The following is a 26,117-nucleotide window of genomic DNA, read 5'->3' on the forward strand; positions in this document are numbered from 1 at the left end:
AAAGCAAAGGAGCATTGCCGCCCCGGCTCTCTTTAAGCTATTTCCTTTGATCTTTTAGGAAAAGGGGGAAACTTTCTAAAGGAGTTGGTGGTTTGTGGAGGAAAGCTGCAGAACCCAAAAACACCGTCGGGCCGTTTCCCGACTAAGGGAGGGTTAAAAGTACGGCAAGCTCTGTCCCATCATGTAAGGTAAAAAGACCTCAGGAAAAGCACATTCAAAGGGGGAGGAGGCAGAGGCAGCCAGGAGCCTGGAGCGTGGCCTGGGGCGCTGCGCTCCCTCACGGGTCCGGGAGGTGTCGCGCGCGGCCGCCAGCGAGCCCAGCCGCTCCCCGAGGCTTGCGCGCCTGCGCCGGAGCCTCCTGGGTTTCTGCCTCTTTAAACACTTTGAAATGCAATTCCACCCGAAACGACTGGTAGTAACATTTTGACGAAACCGAATCTCTGTTTTACTAAGCAGCGACGCCGCAGAACAAGCAGCTGATGCAATCGTTCAGGTGGAGGCGGCTAGGACGGCCGCCCCTCCCCGGCGGGGCGCCCGGGGAGCCGCCGGATCGGGCCAGGCAGAGCCTGCCCTCCACTCACCGGCAGTCTGAGCAGCTGGCCCACCCGCAAGCTACCGCCCCCCCCAGCATACCCCTCACCCCGCTAAACTCAAACCCGGCCCCGCAGGCCCGGGGCCTCCCCCTCCGGGTTCGCCGCGGGCCCAGCCGAGCCGCGCTCACGCCCGGGACTCCCTGGCGGGAGGCGACCTTCCCGACTCCTTGGGCCAGGCGAGCCGCGGGGCTCTGGCGAGGGGCTCGAGTGACCGAAGAGAAGTCCGCGGAGCCTGAGCCTGGACTCCCCGACTGCTCGGCTTCGCCTGTTTCTCTGCACCGAGCTCAGTCCTTTTTCCTCGCCCTCAGCCGCGCACCGGCACCCACAGTCCGGAGAGGGGCAAATAACCCCCAACTCCGAGGTCCAGGCAGCGGAGGGCCGAGGGGCAGCTCCTGGCGCCCTTAGTCTCCACCAAGCTCTTTGGAGCTGCCCCGACGAATTGATCCCTCATGTTTTAAGATAGGAGCCCCTTAACATGAGAATGCGCGAGCCCTGGAGGGGCAGACCTGCACTCCCAGGGAACTCCGGGCCCTTTCCCGTCCACCCGCCCGCGTTGCCACGGGACCCCGTCACAGCTCACCACCCCCACCCCTCCGGGCCGCAGGCGGGCAGGGCCCCCAGGGGAGTGCGCATACCCGGTCCTCCGGTGTCTCAGGCCGAGGTTGTCCTTGAGGGGCGGGCCGTCGGGAATGCCCACCTCGGGGCGGGCGTGAGGACTGTCCAGGACACCGCTGTAGGGCCGGCCACCCCGCTCCCGCTCCGAGGCGCCTCCGTCCTCAAACAGCACCGCACCGCTGAGCTTGTTGAAGACGATGGTGTTCATGGTGTCGGTTGGTAGGGACGCGCGGCGCGGCCGCAGAGCCTCGGGGCTGGGCCGCCGGGAGCTCCGCAGCGGGGCTCGGCTTCTAGGAGAGGAAGGTGCATCTCGTTACTTACTGGCTGAGAGTGCTCAGACCCCTGCAGGTTCAGGGCCTTGAACTTGGCCGGGTCGCCGGGCTGCGGAGCCGAGGGGAGGAGCGGCGCCGCCGCAACTGGCAGGGACCCTGCGGCTCTCCCCAGTTGGCTACACGCCCCCGCCCCTGCAGGTTCCCCGGACAGGTACCTGCCCTCTTCCTTGCCTGGGCGATCGATCCCCCCAATCCCTTCACTCCCCAGAACTACAACCGGGAATCATTCACCCGCAGAGGCAAAGGAAACGAATTCCCAAACGAGCCTCTGGGTTTCAGTTTGAATCTGGGAGAGGCATACTCCGGACTGCGGAGCGCGACCGGCGTGAGGCCGCGCGTGGTTCTTCAATCACAGCAGAAGACTAAAGCCTCTAGGAACCCCAACTCGGGGCGTCAGGAGGGGTTGGATGGAAGGGAAGATTTGGGGTAATGTGCCAACCGTATCCACAAGACCCCCCAGCTCATGAGTCCCAGGCCATACCGGGATTTGGGGGATTTTCGTGTTTTCTAGATCGTGGATGGTTTGGTTGAAACCCCCGCATCTTCTGTCCGCCAAGGTCCCCCGGGGTGAGGTTGGGTTCAAGGACAGGAAAAAGTTAAGTGGCGTCAGGACGAAAGCACCACTTCTCCCCCTTCTCTCCCAGAATCTTCCTATCATCCCCCAACGCGCCCCGGGAAGTGCATGGTCCTAAGGTCCAAGGCGCCAGGACCCAGGTCCCCAGAGCCCTCAATCAGTGCCATTCTCTTCCGCAGCGCGGGTGTCAGCCGCGAGCTCGTAGCCCCTCGACACCCGCCTCTCTCTGGGGTCTCCGGGGACCCTTTCAGAGGCTGTAAAGGTGTCAGAAGCCCAAGGCAGGAGGCAGCTTGGTCGGCGCACCTCCCGGGCCACTGCTGCCACTGTCGGGGAGAGCCAGCAGCTCACCTCTGGGGTCGCGGAGGCCCTGAGCCTCTGCCTGCCGCGCACCGGCGTCAGGAGCAAGTCCGCGCGGCCGCGGAGCCGCAGAGTTACAGCCCCAAGGCGCGCGGCGGACTTCGCCCGCCCCATCTCCTCGCCTCGCGCCTCGGGACAGCTCCCGTTTCCTCCGAGCGGCCTCAGCTTCGCTGCCAGCGCCCCCTTTGCCCGTCCAGCCGCGGCATGGGCTGCTACTCCACTAACACACGCGCGCGCGCATACACACACACACACACACACACACACACACACACCCTTTGCCTCGCCAAGCGCCCACACTCGCCAACGCCCCCGCCCCGCCCTTCGGCCACCGCAGCAGAGGCCACGCGTGACATTTAGGACCACGCGTGACCACCGCGATCAAACGACGGCTACGGTCTGTGTTCGTAGGGAAGTGAAGTCAGACCTCTGCTGGATGTCGTGTGTCCCCTAGGACTGCGTCCTCCCGCGCAGACAGGTACGTGCCTGGGGTGTGCACATAGCCTCGGTGATAAGTGTCAAAGAGAATTTTCGTGCTTGCAGCCCCTGTTCTACAGTCAAGACTCGCGTTGGTGTTTTCTTTTAAAATCATGCCCTTAGGGATGTGTGTTCATGCTGCTTTATTTGTACAAGACACCCTTCCCCGGCCCGGCCTTCTCCGAGCCACCCCAGCGCGTCCTCCTAGATGCGACGACGTGTTTTTCCTAGCGAAGTCATCACGAGGTTAGCCACCTCGGACACTTCCCCGGCAGCCCCAAGCCCACGCAGAGATCGCAGACACAGACACCCGGCGCGCTGTAGGTCTGCAGGCAGCAGGCTCAGAGGCAAGCGATGGCAAAGGTCCGAGCGCTGTCCTGTCGCAAGGGGTCCGGGGGCGTGTGAACCACACTTGCTGACCCTCCCAGGACTCCCGCGCGCGGCCACCCGCGCCTCTTCTCAAATCACTTACCCCGATTCACTCCAGACTGTGGCCGGGGAGGTCACTCCCTGCAGAAGTGTCCCCCTCCCCCAACGCCGGCGAATAATTTTAAAGCAAAGGAGGCGCGGCCAGGTGGGCTCCCAAGCTCCGCGCAGACCCTTGGGCCAGCCTTGGCCGCTACCCGAGCGCCTCTCCACCAGACCTTGGAGGGAAGTTGGGGGAAGGGCGGGAGAGCACCGGCGCCCAGGGCGCAGGGGCCAGAGCGAGCCTGGCGTTCCGCCGCAGCCGGCTGAGACTCGGCGACGCGGGGGCTGTACCTGTGGCTGCGGGGCCGACGGCCGGCTGCAGGGCGGCTGGCTCTCCCGCCTCGAGACTAGGCGCACTCCCATCCCCGCCGCATGTTCTCCACGCGGGCTCCAGCGCGCTCACCACCGCCACCGCCGTCGTCTCGGCTTTATTTACCCAGCCCGGCGCGCGCCGCCCGGGAACAGGAATAGCGAGGCCTTCTCATGTTTCCTGACTGCCGGTCCCAGCCGGCGAACATCCTGCGGGCGCGGTATCCACGTTCCCGGGCGGGTGGAGAGGAAGCGTCCGCGCCCGCCCGGCCGCGGGGGCTGCTGTTAACCCCTAGCAGAGGAGCCGCTGCCGGGGAGCCCCGGGCCCGCCGAGTCCTCCGGAGCCGGGCGCGGCTCCCAGATCCGCCGGCCTTGCAGTCGTGGAGCAGACGGGGCTTTTCCCTTCGCACTTTAGGAGAGAAATTGGAGAAGCTGCCGGGAGCGCTCGGCTCCGGCTCCAGAAGCTGAGAGGCTGCGGTGCAAATCCCGTGTCTTAGCTGGCCCGATTGCCGGAAATTTCACTGCGCGTGGCTAGGCGGGAGAGGCCACTGTGACGCGCCCTGTATTTTCCTCTCGATTAGCTGGAGGGAAGTTAGAGCTCCGTTTTGCACCTACAGCCCTGGAGCGTATTGCGGGAAGTGCTAGTGCCCAGGAGCCTCTTTTCTGATGTCACTGGGCTTCTGGGGTCCTAGTTGTCTCAGTCAAAGCCAGGCACACATTCACCTCCGGGGCAAGGGCTGGTGAGGCTGCCCTCGCCGCTGGGTATAGGGATGGGGGAAAGCAAGGATGGGATGAGTTCAGCCCAGGTGGCCAACCCGCGGTGGCCCAAGTGCAGAAGAGGAAGCGCGCCCAAAGCCAAGGATCTGCACGCAGCAAAGGAGATGGAACTTAGAAGAATCACAAGCTGGGACACAGGGCAAAGAGAGAGAATGGCTACCAGATTCTCTGATTGATGATACTTTGCTTCCTAACATTACCGCAAATATAAGTAGCGAAAGCGGCGGTTTAGGTGCAACTGCAAGCTCAGAGCTTCTGGCAGCCCAGAAGATCCCCAAGGTGCCAACACGAAGCTGCCTGCGCTCTCGCCGAAGGCCCTGTGGTCCTAGCGAACTTTCGCCCTTTTTAAAGAACAAACTTAGATTTCCCCCCACCAAGCTTAAAGAAATAGCGCCATTTGTCCTTTTCCCCTCTAAATGCGGCTGGCCAGAGCCGGGGCAGTGGCCCACCTTAGCATCTTCTTCGTGTGTGTGTGTGTGTGTGCGCGTGTGTGTGTGTGTGTTTGTGTGTTGGGGGGGTCGCTAGAAGTGCTTAAAATATATACCAAAACTATTATTTTAAAGACTAATCACACCCTCAAATTTCATATGTGTCACCTCCCAAATTACGCGATAGCAAACCGTTGTGCAGGGGTACAATGTAAACCATAAAGGAAGGCCGGTTTACATTTTTGCGCACCAGGAAGATACAAAGTATCATTGGAGCACGTTCTGATGTCCTCGGTTCTCTTTTGTTATATAACTTGCTGTTGCAGCGCTTGCATCTTGTCTTTGGCGCTGCCCTTGTGGTGTGAGTTCAGTACAGGCTTCTGGTCTACAGACCTCGCTGTAGGAGCTTAAAGACAGGGGTAAATCCTAAGGTTTCAGCCATCAATTTTCAGCTAACAAATTTCACCACAGAAGCAGATCTAATTGATAATTCATAGGACAAAAGAGCCACCTTCTCTTTTATGGTCTCTATCAGTGGTGTTAGTCACCGGGAATTGTAATGAAATTAGCTCTAACATACCCCTGAAACATTTTTTGGTCAGCTGTCCCAGGTAAAGCAATAGGCATCATACAGTTACTTGCAATTTCCCAGTATTCTACTAACTTTTTGAGCTATATGCTATAGTACATGTTAGTATAGGACAAATGAATTTTGTTGTTTTAGTACTTAACTATATTTACTCAATTTAAAAATGCATTTAGAGCGCTTTTAAGATATACTTACATGTAATATTTGTTTTCTTAAAGTCTGAAATGAAATATACAGCAAAAATCTTAATGCAAAAATACTTTTCATTTGATATAGGAATAAAATACATTTGAGTAAGCCTCAACTCACTAAAAAATTAACATATGGTAATTCCCTTAGACTATGATTTAATAATTAAAATCCATTTAAAAATGAAAGAAGAGTGAAGGATCCATTCTAGAAGTGAAATGGTGTGAAATATCCCTCTGTAATATACCAATGGGCATTTATTTTATTTTTGCAAGTTTTATCCTCTATGCAAAAGGGAAGTGTTGTCTTCATTTTAATCCACACTTCAAATACATTCATTATTAAATTACACCTATTTCTAAAATAAATGTTACTCAGCCTCTTGTGCTATATCCAATGTCAGTATATGAAATGCTATATATAATCCTCAGAAGTAAAGCTTCCAGTTTCAGAAAGTTTTAGAAGATTTAAGAAAGCATATGTAGTTTGTGGAAGATGGCCTTATGCAGGGGGAAAAAAAACCCAAAACACCCAACAACTTAGACCAGAAGTCAGAAGACTTGAGCCCTAATCTTAATTCTGGTTAATTTGATGATGGTTTAGCCTGAATTTAGTAAAGTGTAAAATGACGGTAATAAGTTTTCCACAAACTGCCTTACACTATTATGAAGGGTTTCTTTTTTTTAATGTGAAAGTAAGATACTGCTTTGCTAAAGCTAGAAAGATGTTAAGTAAGAACATTTGAAAGAAATATTAATTCATTGTATTGGACTCTGCAGTTATAAATATATGTAATTATTACTTTCTGGTAAAGAAAAAAATAAGTCTTCAGTTTTAGCATTTTGATATTTTACCAAATTACCCTGACATTTCAGAATAAATATTAGTCAAAATGTTTGAAAATAATGAGTGTTTTAAAACTCCTTTTTCCAGTTATTACTTATGAGCAATAAAGCAAACTACAAAGCCAGAGAATGACTACAACTTCCTGCTCAAATGGTATAAAACAGTAAGTTAATGAACAAATAGCAGGTTCAGCTCACACGTGGACAGTTTGATGGCAGAGATACATACTGGAGTGTGTAAGGGGAACAACAGAACAAGTGGTGAGACATACCGCTGCAGAAACACTGTGAGCTAAGCAGTAGAATGAGTGGCCACGAAGGATCTCACAAGGTGTTTCTGCTTTGTTTATAAGTTAATTTTAGTTCCATAAATAACACAGAATGAATAACGCCTTCTTACAGGGAGGGTCTTTTGCATAAATCCACTCTCAAACAAAGAAGAATACAAGCGAAAGTCCCTCTCAGCCACTTCCACCCAATCACATTCTGCAGAGGAACCACCCAAAGCTGGCAATTGCAGGTTGGATATGCATCTGCTCAAGTTTTTTCTATGCATTTACATACATGAATAAAATTAATAAATTATAGTTTTGCTTTATGAATTTTTAAAATAAATGAGGCTGTATATAAATGTACATATACATACTGAGTATTAAACTAATTCTTGCTTTTTCATTCAGTGATGTCCTAAAGAACTTTTGTATTAGTAGGCATACATGTAACTCCTTCTTTTAAACTGTTACATAAGACTCCATAATCTCCTTAAACATTCTCCTATGAATATGTCTGTCTTTCCAATTTTCACTATATAAACATCAAACATCTTTGCATATGATTATTTCTGTATATGCATAACGTGTTTCTCTAGGAATAGTTACCCAGACGTAGAATTTCTAGGTTGAAGGAAACACGGTTTTTAAATTTTGATAGATACTTCCAAATTTTTCTCCAACCTACACCACTGCTGACACATGCATGCTCCAATTTCCTCACATGCTACATAGCATTGCATGTGTTCAGTCTTCATAATGTTTGCCTAAATGATGAGTAAAATAATGCCTCATTGTTTGAAAACATTTTCCTTTATAAGCCATTTGCATTTCTTAATTGAATTGCCTTTGCTTATATCCTTATGAGATGCCTTATTGATTTATAATGTTTATTTATAAATCATTTTTTCATGATATATATTTTTACATGTTGCAAATATGTTACCTGGTCTGTGACTTGACTTTTATCTATTTTGTCTTTGTCTTACAGAATGATTAAATGTAAATAGATCAGTATGTCAGTCTCCTTTTTTGAATTCTGGTTTTTGTGTCTTGCTTAAGAAGGCTTTTTTTCTTTTTGTATTTTCATCTAATACTTTAAAACATTTTTCCACTTGGCTTCTTAATAAGTTATGGTTCAGATTGAGATGGTTGATTCAATGGTGTTCTAGGATGAAGTCATTTATCAGCTTAGAAGCAGGAGATCAGTTTCCAGCAGCTGTATTTTCCACAGTACAGTGTGACTGCACATAGCTTTTCAAACACATCATGTAACAAAGAAGGGATACCCTATCACAAGCAATATAAGGTTATTTGTAAAAGTGATGAAAAAGCACCCATTGTTTGAAAAAGTAAAATGTATTTCTCTCCTTGCTCAACATTTCATGGAATGGGAATTAATTTTTTTTTCTTCACAAAGCAGCTAGTCAAGATAGGAACATTTGATAATGATTATATATGAGTCAAATTCATTCTGGCCAGAAATGCAAGTACTTTATCACCGCAATTTTAAAAACCATTAAGTATGTGCAAGTGCAGAAAATACACATAATAAGCAATCAATAGAACTGAGATCCAAGTGGGTTAACGTCTTGTTCTACTCCAGGTCTTGCTTGAGACAGGACCTGATGTGACACTGACCCCTAACAACCCATCTTTTCTCTTGATACCAAAGTATCTTCAGTGACCTCAAATTAGAGTCCCCTATATTACACACAAGAAAATATACTATACATTGGGGTCTTGAGGGGAACTGGCAGAATATTTCATCCTTAAAATACGCATTTACACTTACATACTAGAATTACTTTCAGAAGACTCTTCTAGCTTGAGAATCAATTTGCCTTTATGTCAAAAAGTGTCCTTTTAAATAAAAATAGTGAAGACTTTTGTCCCTAGGCCAGTAGGGCTCTATGTATGAAACCTAATGGACTTCAGGAAATCCGTAGATTTTAAATATTTAATCATGATATGTGCTCCAAAATGTGTCATGCTTTTGGTTGACCCTCCCCAAATCCATCTTCTCTGTTTTCATTTTCAATCTATGTGTAGGATAACTGAATAGATTCACCAAAGGACTGAATGTGAGCAGGAGTGATGTGTGCAACTTCTGCTCAACAAGCTTAGAAGGAAATTGCTGCCCTTCTCTCCCTTTAACTCTTCCTGTGTCCAACGGTTGGAGCATGGATGTGGCAGGGTATTAGTTCACTCCAGCTGCCATCACAGAATATCACAGACTGGGTGGCTTAAATGACAGAAATGTATTTTCTCACAGTTTTGGAGACTCAAAGTCCAAGATCAAGGTGCTGGCAGGGTTGGTTTCTGGTAAATTCTCTCCCCGACTTGCAGACAGCACCTTCTTACTGTGTCCTCACATGACCTTTTCTCTGTGCTCATGCTGGGGTGGGGTAGAGAGGAGGAGAAAGAGAAAGAGAGAGAGAGAGAGAGAGAGGTCTGCTACCTCTCCCTCTTTTTAAAAAGGACACCAGTTGTAGCAAATTAGGATCCCACTGTTGTAATTTCATTTAACTTTTTTTTTTTTTCTGAGACAGAGTCTAATTCTGTTACCCAGGCTGGAGTGCAGTGGAGCTATCTTGGCTCACTGCAACTTCTGCCTCCCAGGTTCAAGCAATTCTCCTGCCTCAGCCTCCTGAACAGCTGGGATTACAGGTGCCTGCCACCTCGCCCACCTAATTTTTGTATTTTTAGTAGAGATGGGGTTTTGCCATGTTGGCCAGGCTGGTCTCAAACTCCTGACCTCAAGTGATCCACACACCTTGGCCTCCCAAAGTGAGCCAACATGCCTGGCTGACCTCATTTAACTTTATTCACCTCATTAAAGGCCTTGTCTCCAAGTTCAGTTCCATTGGGGGTTAGGGTGTCACATATGAATTTTGAGGGGACACAGGTCAGTCCGTAACAGGCAGTGACCCATGTCAGCCGAGCAGCAAATAACCTAAGAAACAGCAGAATCGCAAGATAAAGGGAACCTGTGGCTTTGAATGAATCACTCCAGTGAGAGCTATCAGGCTAACCTAACCTGAGTCCAAAAACCTTTTTCTGTAAAGGGCCGGATAGCAAAAGCTTTCTGGGCCCCGTGATCTCCCCGATGATGATTGAACTCCATCACTGTGGTGCAGAAGCAACTGTAGACAAGACTTGACTATGAATGAGTTAAGGAATGAGTGTTGATGTGTTCCAATAAGACTTGATTGAATGACACTAAAGATTGAATTTGTGTCATTCTCATTCTCACTGATATGGCTTGGCTGTGTCCTCACCCAAATCTCATCTCGAATTGTAGCTCCCACAATTCCCACGTGTCATGGGAGGCACCTGGTGGGAGGTAATTGAATCATGGGGGCAGGTCTTTCCCGTGCTGTTCCTGTGATAGCAGTGATAGTGAATAAGTCTCATGAGATCTGATGGTTTTATAAAGGGGAGCTCCCCTGCACAAGCTTTCTTGGCTGCCACCATGTAAGACGTCCTTTTGCTCCTCATTCTCCTTCTGCCATGATTGTGAGGCCTCCCCATCCATGTGGAACTGTGAGTTCATTAAACCTCTTTCCTTTATAAATTACCCAGTCTCAGATATGTCTTTATTAGCAGCATGAGAAGAGACATACACATACAATAGTGTTGCTGCTTTTATTTTTTATTTCCAACCAGTTAAAGATGTAAAAGCTATTCTTACCTGAGAAATTGGAAAAGGCCATGAGCTGCATTTTGCCGGCGAGGGGTTGTGTTTGCTGACCTATGACTTGGACTACTCAGCTCTCATTGCAGGGGAGACAAATACCCCTTATTTAAGTCACTGTATTTGGGGGCTTCCTTGCTAAAGGAACTTAGTCTTTACCCTAAGTAATAGACACTTGTAAAAAAAATGATCCCAGTGGCCACAGGTGGGCTTAAGAAAAGCGCTTCCTAGATGCCTAGAGGCTGCCACACCAGGGCGATCTGGAAAGGAGATGGAAAGAAAAAGTGCTTCCTCCCCTTGCCTCCTGAGACAGTGTTGCATGTGTTTAGAGAATCAGCCTTATTATTTTCACATTTATTTGGCGCTATGGTCTTTTTAAAAATCTTAATTTTTCCTTTCCTTTCCCCTTTCCTTTCCTTTCCCCTTTCCTTTCCTTTCCCCTTTCCTTTCCTTTCCCTTCCCTTGCCCTTCTCTTCCCTTCCCTTCCCTTCCCTTCCCCCTCCCCTCCCTTGCCTTCCCTTCCCTTCCCTTTCCTTCATTTCCTTTCCTTTTTCATTTCCTTTCATTTCTCCTTTCCTTTCCTTTCCTTCTTTTCTTTACTCTCTCTCCCTTTCTCCTTCTCTCCCTCTTTTTCCTCCTTCCTTCCTCTCTCCCCCCTTCCTTCTTTCCTTCCTTCCTTTCTCCCTCTCTTTTCCCTCCCTTCCTTCCTTCCTTTCTTCCTCTCTCTCTTTTCCCTCCCTTCCTTCCTTCCTTCCTTTCTCCCTCTCTTTTCCCTCCCTTCCTTCCTTCCTTCCTTCCTCTCTCTCTTTTCCCTCCCTTCCTTCCTTCCTTCCTTCCTCTCTCTCTCCCTTCTTTCCATCTTTTCTTCCTCCCTCCCTCCCTCCCTTCCTTCATTTCTTTCTTCCTCTTTCCCTCCCTTCTTGCTTACATCCTTCCTCTCACCCGCTTCTTCCCTTCTTCCCTTCCTTTCTTTCTTCCTCTTCTTAGTTATTGATATGATACAATATGATATGATATGCCTTAGTTATTGATGTGATATGCCTTAGCGATTGATACGATATGCCTTAGTTATTGATATGATCTGCCTTTAGGCGCAGTATTGGTACTTGGGTTTTGATGCTTATGTTTTATGTAATCACGGAAAATGCTGATTAATTTTCAAGGCTTACTGTTTTCTGACTGACACCCCACCACCCCCCCTCCAAAAAACTCACAAAATTTGAGCTATTTTTTATTGTTTTCTTTTTAATAATCAACAATACGTATTTATGGAGCACCCGCATGCAAAGTTCTGTGCCAAGAACTGCATCGTATCTGATTTAAAAGACACGATCCTTGCCTAGCTTACAAACCTGTTAAGAAAGCACTGGAAAATAAATATACCTCATCTAAAAAGCCTTAGGGTATCTGATATAAAGATTGCTTGAATCCAGTAAATCTATAAGTCATCTGTAGCAATGCATGAGGGAGCTTAAAGATGACAGAATGATAATTTTATGTGTCTGCTAAAAATTTTGTAACCATATTACCAACATCCTTCCCGAAAACATGCAAAAAGAGAGCATTATTTCAGAAATTTGAGCCTGATTGAAAAACAGTATTTTCACCTCTTACATCAGGCTGTTTTGAATGTTATGCCAAAAACTTCTGGGTTTCAAGAAAGATTTTTAGGACTTCCGTTGAGAAAAAAAAATGTGGTAATGGCAGACACACAGAGGTTAGCTTTTGGCTTTTCTTCCCTGTGCATGCCTTTATCTAACCTACCTCCCTGCAACCCACTTTTATAAAACCCCTGTTTTGGAAAAGTGCTAAAGGGAGAGAGGGATTGGAACAGAGGTGTTCTGTGCATAAACTTGTTATGGGTGGCAGTGAAGTCATTCCTGGGGCTCCACTCATTCTCTGCACAAGAAAGATTAATTCTTGCCCAAGTATCTGGGCCAGGGAACCTCAGGCCAGGCAGCAGGTGTGAGCATCTTTTTGTTCTGCTTTTCACTGATCTTTGTTAAAAGTGCTTTGATGGAGTAGGCTACCATAAATCCTGCTGAGAAAGGAGTTTGGGCTAGTAGAAAGGGAAAAGGAAAAAGGCATTAGGCCAATTAATTATATACTATTTATTTATTAATGTAAATTGTTAGAGATAGGATCTTGCTCTGTTGCCCAGGCTGTAGTACAGTAACATGATCATAGCTCACTGTATCCTCGAACTCCTGAACTCAAGAGATCTTCTCATCTCAGCCTCCCGAGTAGCTGGGATTACAGATACATACCACCACACTCAGCTAATTTTTAATTTTTTTTTTTCTGTAGAGGTGGGATCTTGCTATGTTGTCCAGACTGGTCTCAAACTCCTGGCCTCGGCTTCCCAAGTTGCTGGGATTGCAAGCACGAACCACCATGCCAGGCCTAAATTGTATAATTTAAACAGCCTGAAGTCTAGGATAGGGGAAGTCTTGCAATATCCAAACGTCACAACTTTTTCTTAGACCTGCGGTAGCAGGCAGCCCAAGACATATGTCCTGATACTACTCTTCCAGACTCATAAATGGTGACATAATAAAGGATATTTTAAAAATACATAATACATACAAAGCACTTCCTATGAATCCACACACTATTGTAAGCAATTAACTCATGTAATTCTCACAGCCACACTTTAGTACCCATTTTGTAGAAGAGGACATCTAGGCATAGGATTACTGTAAGTCACAAAGTTGGTGACTAGTGGAGCTGGGATTTGAACCAAGTCAGGCAGACCTTAGAGCTCATGTGCTATATCACTTAACTCTGCCCCTTCTTTGAAGGTATATAGGAAGGGTAGAGAGAAAGAACTCTTAAACCCTTGTCTCCATAACTGTAGGCACAGCTAAACATGCAGCTACACACCTTCCGACTCCTCACTTCACAGGTAGAAACTCAACGCCAATACGTTCACTTTTCATTCTGTATGTGACATTTTTTCTAGGTGGGGAGCAGTGGAGGGTCAGTGTCACCTGTAATAGGATGATTTCAACAGCTTCAGCGTCATGGTAGAAAGGCTCCACTTCCTGTTCTTCTTCATGTGTGGGCTCACACCCAGAAGCCAATTACTGCTGAGTATTCTGAGGGTTCTCGAAATCTGGAGAACATCTTTTCCACCGGACAATGAAAAATAACAGGCTTTGGAATAGCCTCAGCGACCCTGAAGTGTTGTTTTCTTGTGGGAGTAGACATGATTATAAGTGGCTTATTCTAAGAGGGGTGAAAACCAGTAGCTTTGAAGAAGAAGGTGACAGTGGCCCTACAACTTCATGATCCTCTTTGGTTATTTTGTCTCTGTTTTGTTTTGTTTTGTCTTGTTTTCATTGTTACAGTCGTCAGGCTTACCCCTAACATTTGTGGAGCCTAAGGCAAGAGTACCAATGACACCCACGTACCATATGTCTAAATATTTAAACCCTATAAATCAAGCTAAAACACTTAAGTAACATATGCCCCGTCCTTCTACCTTGACGAACATACCATCTCTCTGGAAAATCAAAAACTATATAGAAAGTTAGGACTTTAGTTAGAAAAGTGTTAAAGACAATTAGATTTAATTGTTATTGTATATGTCTGGATATCTTGCTGTTAAGCTTGCAGTGTTTAGATAAGTAATAAAATATAAATATAAAATATATTTATTATATTAAATTTAATTTTCTTGTCTTTATTTCAGCAAAAATCAGTTATTATAATCAATATTTCTCATAATTTGTGTTCTGAAGTAATTGCAATTACTTCAATAATTGCAATAATTTGTGTTCTGAGTAAATGCAATTCTATTAAGTGTTTAAAACTTGAATTTGTTTTTATAAAGAATGTATATTAAAATAAATATGGCAGGTTTTTAAAATTAAACTCATTTTCATGTATCATTTATGAAATGCTTTTATTCTAAAATAATTACGTATAAAATTAAAAGAGAAAAACAATTAATGAATATAAAATTTCAAATAAATCTAAAATTTTATTTAATTTTTGGAAAATTAATTTAAAATATCTTTATACAAATTATTTGCATTGGTAGTGTTCAATACATGGCTGGTTTCAATGCAAAGTATTGATATCAGATTTCATGAGTTATTTGTCAAAATTTATACAATTACTGATTTAAGTGTGATATGAATTGTTTAATATTGCAAAACATTCTTTTGCTACCAGTTGCAACTATTGCAAAGCTTTGCTAAATATTGAATACCTTCACAACCAGTTGCTGGATGAGCAAAAAAAATGATACCAGGCACTACTGGGAAACAATACTGCATAAGGCAAAGATATATTGCATTCATGCTCTCTGAAAAGAAGGGTCTGTTGAGTTGATTAATTGGTCTTTTCTCCCAGCTCTCAGAAGCAGTGTTCACCTGCAGTGTTCACCTCCAGTGTTCTCAGCTGTGCAACCCAAACCTTTACAACATTTGGATGTGATCACCTTTTACTTTGAGGACATAAAGCAAACAATGTGTAGAAGAATTTCCGTGGGCCTGAATGATGTTGTCACAAGAGCAGACATTTAGGTTTAGAGTTGCACTATGCCCTGTTAAGCACGCAATCCCAAATGACAGTGTGTGTGTGTGTGTGTGTGTGTGTGTGTGTGTGTGTGTGATGCAGGCCTTTTAAAAGAAGGATTCAGGGCAGTAGCCCTTTGCCTGGGTTTAAGAGTGGTGTGGTCATTCGAAGTGTTTCTTTATCTACTCATTTTTTTAAAAATTATTAAACTTGGCCATCTCATTAATGAAAAAGAAATTGCACTAACTGAAGCCTTTCATGAGTTTATCCTCTGATGATCCCACAATGATTAACACATAATTCAGCCTCTGGAATAGCAATGGCAGGGCCACTGTCTTAGTTCTTTTGTGCTGTTATAACAAAATACCTGAGTCTGGATAATTTATAAAGAATAGAAATTTCTTTTTTACAGTTCTGGAGGCTGGAAAGTCCAAGATCAGGGTGCTAGCATCTGGTGTCTGGTGAGGGCCTTCTTGCTGCATCTCACATGGCAGAAGAATGGGAAGGGAATGAACCTACTCACTCAAGGCCTTAATTAGGAAATAAGCTCCACCCTCATGACTTAATCACCTCCTAAGTGCTCCACTTATCTTAATGTTATCACACTGGCAATTAAGTTTCAATATATGAATTTGAGAGGACTAATTTAGTTTATCGAATTGGAGAATAAGTTTCAATATATGAATTTGAGAGGACACATTCAACCCATAGCAGTCCCTATAAAGCCCCATGTGGGTAACATACATTTTTTACAGGGGCAATTATTGCAGAATCTTCCTTTAGGAAATAATTTCTTTGCTGAGGCTAAGAAGTTTATACACTTAAGGTTGGTCTTGCAAATTCAGTAAGACTAATAAGGAGACTGCTGACTATGGACACTGTATATAGCCTATGGCTGTCAGTAGAATGCCTTATTCCTAGGCACTCGTGGTCTCTATGGAATGCTTTTTATTTCCCTCAATGCTAGGCTTTTCAAGCTGTTGAATCACCTTAAGCATTGGGGTACTTGTTAGAAATGCAGGTTCCACATCCCAACTATAGATGCTCAAAGTCAGGTTTTCTGGGCTTCAGGCTCTATAATGGTACTGATACAGATATTTCTCAAACCGTACACTGCGGAAAATTGGTCTGGAGCAATGGCCTTCAAACTTTTTTGATTGTACACTCATCACTAAAAAATATTTAGGGCAGGCTTCTCTAATACATATATAGTCGTTTACTGGTAATGGTTGGTATAGATGTACAATTGGGCTAATATATTTTGTAAATTGTAAAACATGCAAAAATGGAAAGGTTTTTAAAGAGGCAACAATGAAATAAACAATATTTTTAAATAATTTTTTCTATTAATGACACAAATATGTTTTTGTTCCCACCAAAATGTTATGTCAATAAATAATTATTAATATTATCAACAAGGCTATTTTTAGTGAAAGCAATGTAATTTGAATTGCTTCATACTTAAAAAATAGTCACACTGTTTTCCACAATGGTTGAACTAATTTACACTCCCACCAACAGTGTAGAAGTGTTCCTTTTTCTCCACGACCTCACAAGCATCTGTTATTTTTTGACTTTTTAGTAATAGCCATTCTGACTGGTGTGAGATGGTATCTCATTGTGGTTTTGATTTGCATTTCTCTAATGATTAGTGATGTTGAGCTTTTTTCATATGCTTCTTGGCTGCATATATGTCTTCTTTTGAAAAGTGTTCATGCTTTTTGCCCACTTTTTAATAAGGTTATTTTTTTTCTTGTAAATTGGTTTAAGTTCCTTACAGATGCTGGATACTAGACCTTTGTCAGATGCATAGTTTGCCAAACTTTTCTCCCATTCTGTAGGTTGTCTGTTTACTCTTTTGATGGTTTCTTTTGCTGTGCAGAAGCTCTTTAGTTTAATAAGATCCCGTTTGTCAGTTTTTGGTTTTAAACAACTTTGATTTCATAAAAACTCTACACTTTTACTCTCCCCATTTTACATTTGTGGTGTCACAATTTACATATTTTTATGTTATGTATCCCTTCACAAATTGTTATAGCTATTGTTATTTTTAATAATTTTGTCTTTTAACCTGCATACTAAAGATATACATAATTTACATACCACCATCACAGTATTAGAGTATTCTGAATTTGACTATGTACTTAACATTTACCAGTAAGTTCTAAACTTTCATGTTGCTCATTAGCATCCTTTTTTTTTCATTTTTCATACTACTGCCATCCCTAAAATCCCAGATATCTCAGGACAAGACATAGATTCATACAGAAGAGGTGGATTTCTGACTATATTTACTGCCCCATCCACAAATTATACAAAGGGGCTTGCTTGAGATTATGCTTTTAAGCCTTCCTTGATATCAATCAGTTCTTCTTATAAATTAGTCAGAAAGTGTGGCACTTTTATTTTAAAAAAATGACTATCATATTCCCTGCAACTTTTAAAGAGATTTTAAAGTAGATTTGAAAATTCCTTTTCCAAGTTTTTAAGTAGAATCAGTTTTTCAATAGATAATACAAGTTATTTTCAGAAACAAAATCATACAATGACAGGTACATTTCTAAATCCTAAGTGTCTTTTGGAAGGCAGTTAGTTTCTCAATTACTGTTAAATGTCATCTTTACCTGAAGGGGGCAGATGAAGAGTGTTTTATATGTGTTTTGCTTTTATGTAACTATAAAGTAGATATCCTTGAGGATGATAGTCACATCCTCAAGAAGGTGAACAAATTATTGTGGCTTAAGGCTGAAGCTTAGGATGCATAACGGAAAGTGAAATGAGAAGACTGACAATAAATGGGCAAATGCTAGATGATGGAAGTCCTGTATCTTATGTCCATTATTTTGGTTTTCTTCCTATAAGAATGGAGCAGCCACAGATGCCACCGGGTCATTGTGGGAGGAGCAAGGTAGCCTCCAGGATGGCCTGCAGCCCTAAGTGACACAGGGGACAATGGAATCCTTCACTGTGAGAGAGAACAATCACAGGAACAAGAGCTGATATTGATGGAGCTCTCAGATGCTAGGCATTGTTCTAGGGCTCTCATGTGTGTCTTTTCATGTAATGCAACACCCTAAGCACACAGTCTCATTATTAATCCTTTCCAGATGAAAATCTGAGCTCGAGGTCATATAAAAGCCAAGAGTCCAGCAAATCTGGGCTATGTTGACAACTTCAGTTGTGGACACGAAGAGTTAAAGTGCTGACCTGGCTCTGGACCGGCTGATTATAACTCAGCTCTGGTCTCCTAATCCAAATTCTCTAGTTAAAGTCATCAAAAATGATTGCAGCGATCAGCGCTAGGTCTCAGAAAGGTCTAAAACCCTAATGTCATTGAACTGTGGCACTCCCACCCTCAGCACACAATTCTTTTAGTTTCTTAACCAATAAATACAACTTATTGTTACAAAAGCTATATCTGTGCAATAAGAAAGCTAGAAAATAAGATAAGCAAAATTAAGAAAACAAAAGCACCATATTCCTACCACCCAGGGATTATTTCTGCTAAAACTATTTGAATGATTCGTTTAGATAATTTACATATATTTATATTTTAATATAAACAAGATAATACTTTGCAACTTATTTTGTAACGTGATTTTCTATATTAATGAGCTTTAGCTTTAAAGTTAAATACATTTTTATGTTATAATCTACCCATATTTGAAATCTTCATTGTCTTCAAAGCACCCTTCAGAACCAGTCTGTCCAAACTAGAGTCAAATCTAGGCCCACATCTTGAATCTAGTTGTATTGCCTCCAAGTTTTTTCCTAATCAATCACCATCCCTAATGTTTTTTCATTACACACTGACTTGTTGGATGGGCTGGACCAATGACCCCACAGAATCCTCCACCTTCTTCGTTTGTCTGCGTGCTTTCTGGTACTGTTATTTGACTTTCCCTCATGCCCTCTGCTTTCCATAAACAGAAGTTAGATTTGAAAGTTTGCTGGATTCACATTGAGCATTTTCGTAGAATATGTCACAGGTGGTGGTTTGCATTTTATTGTGTGTCACAGCAGGAGACATGATATTTAATGGTTGCACCATAAGTGACGTTAAACTTGACCACTGGATTTCGGTGATGAAAACCTAGTCCCTCTATTGTACACTTACATTTCTCACCTGTGACTAGCAAGAAAGCTTTGGCACTACTTTGGTACTCTGCAAATGTCTGATTGCCCATTCATCTTTTTAAGTTGAATTCCAACTTAAAGTTGCTTCCAACACTAGTTGATAATTCTTGCCTGGGTCAATAATTTCATTAGGGATTGACAATGATTATCATAGCATTCAGTTTTTTATCTCTCTTCATAGATGATATTCTCTTATAAAACCCCACTAGATGAAATGGTGTTTTTTGGTTGTCCTGAAATATAGTCTTACTGGAAAAGCAGGATAAGTGTTAAAGTTTTCCCATTAGACATATATTTTTAGAATAAGGAGCTTAATTAATAACTGCCTCAAATGTGTATGTGGGGGGGGGGCTTTCTCCTTTTTGAATATCATTATTCAGTTATGGATTTTCATTGTTTCCATCTAAGAAAAATCACAGAGTTTATTGGCTTTGTAAAACCTGCCACTTCATCCTGACAACATTTTGGATCTAAGAAGTTATAAGTTGAACAACTCAGCATCAGTTGTTTTTACACTGAAGTGTTATTTAAAAGAAGCAGATACAGTCAACTTCACAATTTTATGAACACTTAAAAAAAATGAATTGACAAGAAGGTGAGAATGTCTTTTGTTACACATGATAAGCCACTCAGCCCAGAGAATGTCCTCGTCTAATGGCAGCATATAAGGCTCTGTCTATCGGCCTTGCATAATTAAAGATGAATTCACTCCTGAAATATGGGTTTATTAAGGCTGGAAAGGAAACACCATTTCAAAAACTGTTACCTATACCATCGTCAAGACAAGATGTCTCTATTTTGAGAATTTTTCTTTTTATTTAAAATGCAAATACTGAATTTTAGGTTTTACTTTTCTTAAAGATGAGTTGATAAATACCTAACTACTGGCTTACTTGCACACATAGCACATAGATTGGAAAAAGTATTATATTTGGTCATTATCCTCTAAAAGGACGTTAAACACATGGAAAAAAATAATATCAATAAATGTATCTGAACACACATGCTTATACACACATACACATCTACAGACATAAACACACACACACGCACACCATGCATCTCCACACACACACACACAGAAGCACACACACCCCATAACCACTCACTAACACACACGCAGATACACACACACTCTGAAAAATATATTGCTAAATTGTAGCGTGACCAACTGTCTCAATGTTAGCACTGAAAATCATGTGTCCCAGTAAACCCTCCAGTGTTTGGCAACGTGGGACGGATGGTCCCTACAATTGGTCCCTAAAATTGCCAGATACGAAACCATACAGGATTCAACCAACAGATCTCTAATGAATCTTCCTGCTCTTGACCTAGACATTTAAACAGGCCTTTAATTCAGATATGAGCTGATATGTCAAAATGGCAGGAAAATAACTTTTTAAATACATAGGATGTGAGTTCTAAGAGTTAGCAGGAATGTACTAAAATTCTTTAAAACTCCCAGCATAAAAGGGCCCAAGAATCTCACTACCTAGTTTTTCTTCCAAAGAAGTAATATAGTTGCCAATACTTCTGAATATTTCAGCCAAAGTTTAGAAAATAAAATGGTATAAGGTACAATGTGCTTGGGTTGATTTTCACTGTGAAATTTTATTTATAGCAAATGCTATTTGTACAGAGACTATTCATTGAAAAGAGACCTTGAGAAGCCAATAGAATCTATCTTTCCACATTTAGTCAAGGCCATAATTAAGCCATCATGGAATTCTACCCAATATATTTAAAAATATCCCCAAAAGGGGAATATCATTCTTTGACAAAAGGTTAGAAATTGTTTTTACTTTTCTTTTCAGTATTTTAATTCTAGAAGCTGTAAACTTTTCTTCAAAGTTTACATTTTAAACTTGTAGTTACATTTGCGGCTGTCCTCCAAATACCTGAAGCATAGATTTGGATGTATTAACCAAGCAGGACTGCAAGTAGAGATTTTCTCTGGAGGGAAAAATACAATTTCTACTTTGTAATACAAGTTTTTATATTCTTGAAATGATATGAAACTGACATATATGTAGTGGAAATAGTATTAAATAATAACCTATTATTGCAGACCTGTAATAAAATTGATATCTCAATAAATAAAACTATTAGTTTTATTTATCAGAATTTAACAGACTCTGTAGGATCCCTAAGAGATTCTACAGATATGGCATCTGATTGTTAGAATTTATCACTAGAATCTCTTTCTTCGTCTTCAGCTGAGGATCAGAGATGAGCCTAATCCTAGATGCTTCCTAGGAAAAAGAAGTGCTTTGAAATGAAAACATATTCTGTTTTCCCCCAACAGGAAAATAGGTGATGCTATGAGACCTATGTTTTAATTTTAGTCCTTTTTTTGTTTTGGTGCTTGGTGGGTAGTTTAGAAGTACAGAAACATTTTATTTAGGTGACTAGTATTTTTGAGATTGAAAGAGCTGAGAGAAGTTAAAGGGTATTTGTTGCTTGATGTCAGTACAGAAGAATTGAAAAGCAGTATTCTCAAATATTCTCAAACTTTAACTTGCGTGCAATTCGCCTTGGGATCTTATTAAAACCAGATTCTGATACTGTGTGGCCAGAGATTCTGCATTCCTAACAAGCTCCTAGGTAGGGCTGATGGCCCAAGGACCACACTTTGAATAGCAAGAGTGTACGGTGGTTTATATACAGAATGGAGTATTGTTCAGCCCTAAAAAAGAACCAGATCTTGCCATTTGCCACAACACGGATGGGCCTGGAGGATATTATGTTAAGTGAAATTCTCCAGGTACAGAAAGAAAAATATTGCATAATCTTACTTATATGTGGAATCTAAAAAAATTTCAAATTTACAGAGATGGAGCATACAACAATGGTTAGCAGGGGTCAGGGAGAGGAGAAGAAATGGGGACATGTGGGTCGGAGAATATAAAGTAGCAGATATGTAGCATAAACAAGTCTAGAGATCTAATGTACAAGATGAGGATTATAGGAAATACAATTCTACTGTATTTAAGATTTATGCTAAATGAGTAGATTTTAGCTGCTCCTGCCACAAAAACAAATAAAAAGGTGAATAACTATGTGAGTTGATAGACATGTTTGTTAATTTGTTTCACTATATTAACCTTTTTACTCTGTATATGTATCCCATAACATCATATTGTATACCTTAAATACACACAACATAATTTGTTTCTTTAGAAACCCTCAGCTATAGCTTAGTTTCGTCTTTCTCTTCTTAACTTAGAAAAACAAATAGAACCCAATGAGATACACTCATTATAGAGAGGGGTAAGGGCATGGACAGGGATTAGAAAAACTACCTCTATGGGATGATTTATTTGGTATAGAGAAATATTTGTATGACTAGTTAGGAAGCTATTTCTGTAGCACAGTGACTAGAACATGGATATAAATCTGAACACTATGTTGGTAGTTTAGCATACAATTGCTGAGTGTTTTAATTACAATTTTTTAATCCTTTATTTTTAGAGACAGAGTCTCACTCTCTCCCAGGCTGGAATGCAAGTGGTGCCATCATAGCTCACTGCAGCCTCGAACTCCTGGGCTCAAGGGATCCTCCTGCCTCAGCCTTCTGGGTGACTAGGAGTACAGGTGCACCCATCATCCCCAGCAAATTTTAAATTCTTTCTCTGTAGAGACAGGGTCTGTCTATGTTGCCCAGGCTGGTGTCCAAGTCCTGGCCTCAAGCAATCCTCTGGCCTTGGCAGGAATTACAGAAATGAGCCACTGTGCCAAGCCCCTGGTTATAAATTTTTAATCCACATTTTACAACTAGATTTAGACTTATTTTAATCCTCTTTAATAAGGTTTAGTTTTCTCTATTTTATATCATGAAAATACCAAATAACTGTCTACGAAGATACTTCATATGCTGAAATTTGGTATTGCAAATATATAAACCAAATACCTTTTTGCATTTTGTACTTCAGGTTGACATTTAGATCTTTGAGACAAGTCCCAATAGCCTTATTTCATGTAGTGCATACTTCAATTCACAGTCATTTATTAATCCAGCAAAAATTATGTACTTAGCAGTCCTCATTCATTTACTATGCTTTTTGAAGTTTTGCCTGATCTGTTAAGATTGTTTGGCCATAACAGAAAAACTCCAAATCAACATAGTTTAAACAACATGGTTGCTCACTTTCTTCTCACGTTCAAGAAATCCACCTGACATTCCTACATGTCAAGGATCTAGTCGCTTTCTATTTTGTTGCTTCCCCAACGCAAGGCTTTCTGTCTTGAGAGCATTATCTAGTCTAAAATGGCTGCCCGGGTTTCAGCCACTATGACCACATTCCAACCAGGAGAAAAGGAGAACGAACGGGAAATAGAAGTGCACGCTTCCTCGTTCCCACCACTTTTTAATGGCCTTTCCTAGGAGTTGCTCACACTACTTTTCCCATCTTATAGATCACAGTTAACCACTTGGCCACACCTAGCTGCAAGAAAGGCTGGGAAATGCAGTCTTTATTCCAGGTGGCCATGTTCCTATCTGCAAATAAAGGACACTATTACTATAGAAGAGCGATCAGCAAACTATGATCTGCAAGCCCAATCTGGCTCACTGCCTATTTTTGTAAATAAAGTTTTATTAGGATGACATAGCCAGACCTGTGTATAGAATATCTATGGCTGCTGTCATACTACAATTGTAGAGCTAAGTAGTCCCTAAAGAGATCACACAGCCCATGAAGCCTAAAATATTTTCTGTCTGGCCTTTTTACAGAAAGTGTTTGCTGATCTCCGCAATGGAAAAAAAGGAGGGAAAGTCTCTGTCACATTTCTTTTTTCTTTCTTTTTTTTTTTTTTTTGAGGCAGAGTTTTGCTTTTGTCACCGAGGCTGGAGTGCAATGGCACAATCTAGGCTCACTGCAACCTCTGCCTCCTGGGTTTAAGCGATTCTCCTGCCTCAGCCTCCTGAGTAGCCGGGACTACAGGCATACACCACCACATCCCGCTAATTTTTGTATTTTTAGTAGAGACGGGGTTTCGCCATGTTGGCCAAGCTGGTCTTGGATGCCTGACCTCAGGTGACCTACCCACCTCGGCCTCCCAAAGTGCTGGGATTACAGGTGAAAGCCACTATGCCCAGCCACCTCTGTCACATTTTTGGGGCCATTTTCTTCTCATCTTTCATCTTTGGCCAAGTTCAGCTAATTTATGAAATCCAGCAGCTTCTACAAAATGCTAAGAAGCAGGGCCTGCACAACAGTGGCATTTAGCCTGGTACAGGATGAAGGAGATCATTTAAGCAAGTTACCAAGATGTTCCCACATATTGCTACCATTTTCGTTTTCTTTTTATCAAGATACGATTTATAATTGTCCCACATGTGGGTCTTGTAACAGTTAGGGCTTAATTGGTGCAAACGGAATCCATTCTAGCTAGTTCAATGAGGAAAAGATTGATTACGGGACATTAAATGACATGGAAAATCATTAGGAGCATAAGAGCAGGAAGAAGGGAAGTGCTAAATTAGTAAACTCTGAGTAGATTTGGTATCAACCTGGTCCAGCTCCCTTCTGCCCAAACACACTAAATCAATCACTGTGACACATGTTTTGCAAAAGAGAGTTTATTCACAAGGCAGCCAAACGAGGAGGTGGGAGAGCAGGTCTCAAATCCACCTCCTTGAAGATGAGGCTTAGGGATATTTATGGGTTAGAAAAGCAACGTGGTCTAAAGCGTGGGAAAAGGTGATTGGTAGTAGGGAAAATTGAAGTAATCAGTGATCTGCACAAGCGTAGTCAGGGTGCCTGGCATTTCATGGGACATATGTTCAGAAAATGGCATTATTAGCATGATCTATAGGTAGAGTTTTGGGTCCTCTCATGTCAAAATGTCAGCTCTTGGGCATTTGCACGGGCCCAGTTGAAGGGTGCTCTCAACAAGTTTGAACTGGATAGGAGCTGTCCCAAGTTCCTGAAAAACAACTGAAGTGACCATTACCATGGTGACTTATAAGTGTTGTCGATAAGGTGGCCAGTGAAGGTGACATTGCAGCATTCAGCTCACGGCCTTCAGATTCATGGAAATAAAAGTGACCAAAAGCAAGAGGGTTGCTACATCTGGCAGACCTGATCAGGTTAACCCCTCAGTTCCAGGTTTTCAGAAATGACTTCCTAAGTACATTGCAGAGCAGAAGTACTGAAAGAGCTTCTGTCTCTTTCAGAGCTCCAGAGCACCACCCCACTGTGCCTCATTCAGGAAGTGCTGTGATCAAGAAACCACTACTGCTGCTGGTGCCAGGACTGTGATTCCCATCAACAGCACTGATGGCCTGCACCTCACCTCTGACACCCATGGGACTCTTGTATGTGGACACCAGAAAGTCTGCTAATTCTGGAACAAAAACCTGAAATGTCTCCATGAGATGGACTGCTGAAAGAAATAGAAAACCACAGAGGTGAGGCCTCCACCGTACTTCCAAATGCTGTATTGCACATGGAATGCATTTGATTTGTCAGATCAATCACTTTCAGAATCCAAGCTGCAAAGGAGTTTTGGAAACACAGACCAGAGTTTTCCAGCCTCTGTCAGACGAGAAGGCTAAAAAAGATTGGAATGGATGATGGGCATTCATATTCACATAAATTCGACTTCTATATATGTGATGATGTCTTCTTTCTTTTTTAAGATTTATTTTATTTTCTTGTAGAGACAAGATCTTGCTTTGTTGTCCAGGCTGTACCACAGTGGGGGGATCATGGCTCACTGTAGCCCCAAACACCTGGACCCAGGCAGTTTTCTCCTCTCAGCCTCCTGAGTAGCTAGAATTACAGGCACATACCACCATGTCCAGCCAATTTTTTTTTTTGGTGGAGATGGGGTCTTGCTATGTTGCCCAGGCTGGTCTTGAACTCCTGGGTTCAAGCAATCCTCCTGCCTCAGCCTCCCAAAGCACTAGGACTACAGGCATGAACCACCATGC

The 26,117-nt window shown here is 42.8% G+C and overlaps 1 protein-coding gene and 1 long non-coding RNA gene across 10 annotated transcripts in view, besides 4 other annotated features; one reads left to right on the forward strand and one right to left on the reverse strand.

The window, feature by feature from the left end:
• The window catches only part of MKX (mohawk homeobox), a 72,946-nt gene extending 69,126 nt beyond the window's left edge, over nucleotides 1–3,820 (reverse strand). For 3 of the 9 annotated variants that reach the window (XM_017016108.2, NM_173576.3, XM_017016107.2), the window contains exons 1-2: nucleotides 3,708–3,820; nucleotides 1,229–1,498 (exon numbers count right to left, since the gene is read on the reverse strand). In XM_017016108.2, the coding sequence (XP_016871597.1) occupies nucleotides 1,229–1,416 (188 nt within the window). In that variant the 5' untranslated portion in view covers nucleotides 1,417–1,498; nucleotides 3,708–3,820. Of the gene's footprint in view, nucleotides 1–1,228; nucleotides 1,499–2,021; nucleotides 2,394–2,462; nucleotides 2,694–2,898; nucleotides 3,475–3,707 lie in introns of those variants that run through there. The other 6 variants (XM_047425119.1, XM_047425117.1, XM_017016105.2 and 3 more) reach the window with 4 other exon arrangements.
• Nucleotides 201–420: a silencer, noted in NCBI's record as "silent region_2247". NCBI's record gives its function as "represses an Ori minimal core promoter by ATAC-STARR-seq in GM12878 lymphoblastoid cells {active_cell/tissue: GM12878}" and the evidence as "EXISTENCE:reporter gene assay evidence [ECO:0000049][PMID:35858748]".
• Nucleotides 491–610: a silencer, noted in NCBI's record as "silent region_2248". NCBI's record gives its function as "represses an Ori minimal core promoter by ATAC-STARR-seq in GM12878 lymphoblastoid cells {active_cell/tissue: GM12878}" and the evidence as "EXISTENCE:reporter gene assay evidence [ECO:0000049][PMID:35858748]".
• Nucleotides 891–960: an enhancer, noted in NCBI's record as "active region_3189". NCBI's record gives its function as "activates an Ori minimal core promoter by ATAC-STARR-seq in GM12878 lymphoblastoid cells {active_cell/tissue: GM12878}" and the evidence as "EXISTENCE:reporter gene assay evidence [ECO:0000049][PMID:35858748]".
• On the forward strand, nucleotides 2,616–25,800 carry MKX-AS1 (MKX antisense RNA 1). The gene is made up of 2 exons (NR_121652.1): nucleotides 2,616–2,949; nucleotides 25,359–25,800. It is a non-coding gene; the product is annotated as an MKX antisense RNA 1 (long non-coding RNA).
• Nucleotides 3,311–3,901: an enhancer, noted in NCBI's record as "H3K27ac-H3K4me1 hESC enhancer chr10:28034239-28034829 (GRCh37/hg19 assembly coordinates)". NCBI's record gives its function as "activates a minimal SCP1, AML or CMV promoter by ChIP-STARR-seq in primed H9 embryonic stem cells {active_cell/tissue: H9 hESC(primed)}" and the evidence as "EXISTENCE:reporter gene assay evidence [ECO:0000049][PMID:30033119]".
• Nucleotides 25,801–26,117: the final 317 nt, after the last annotated feature.

This window comes from Homo sapiens, chromosome 10 (assembly GCF_000001405.40).
Source record: "Homo sapiens chromosome 10, GRCh38.p14 Primary Assembly".
NCBI lineage: Eukaryota > Metazoa > Chordata > Mammalia > Primates > Hominidae > Homo > Homo sapiens.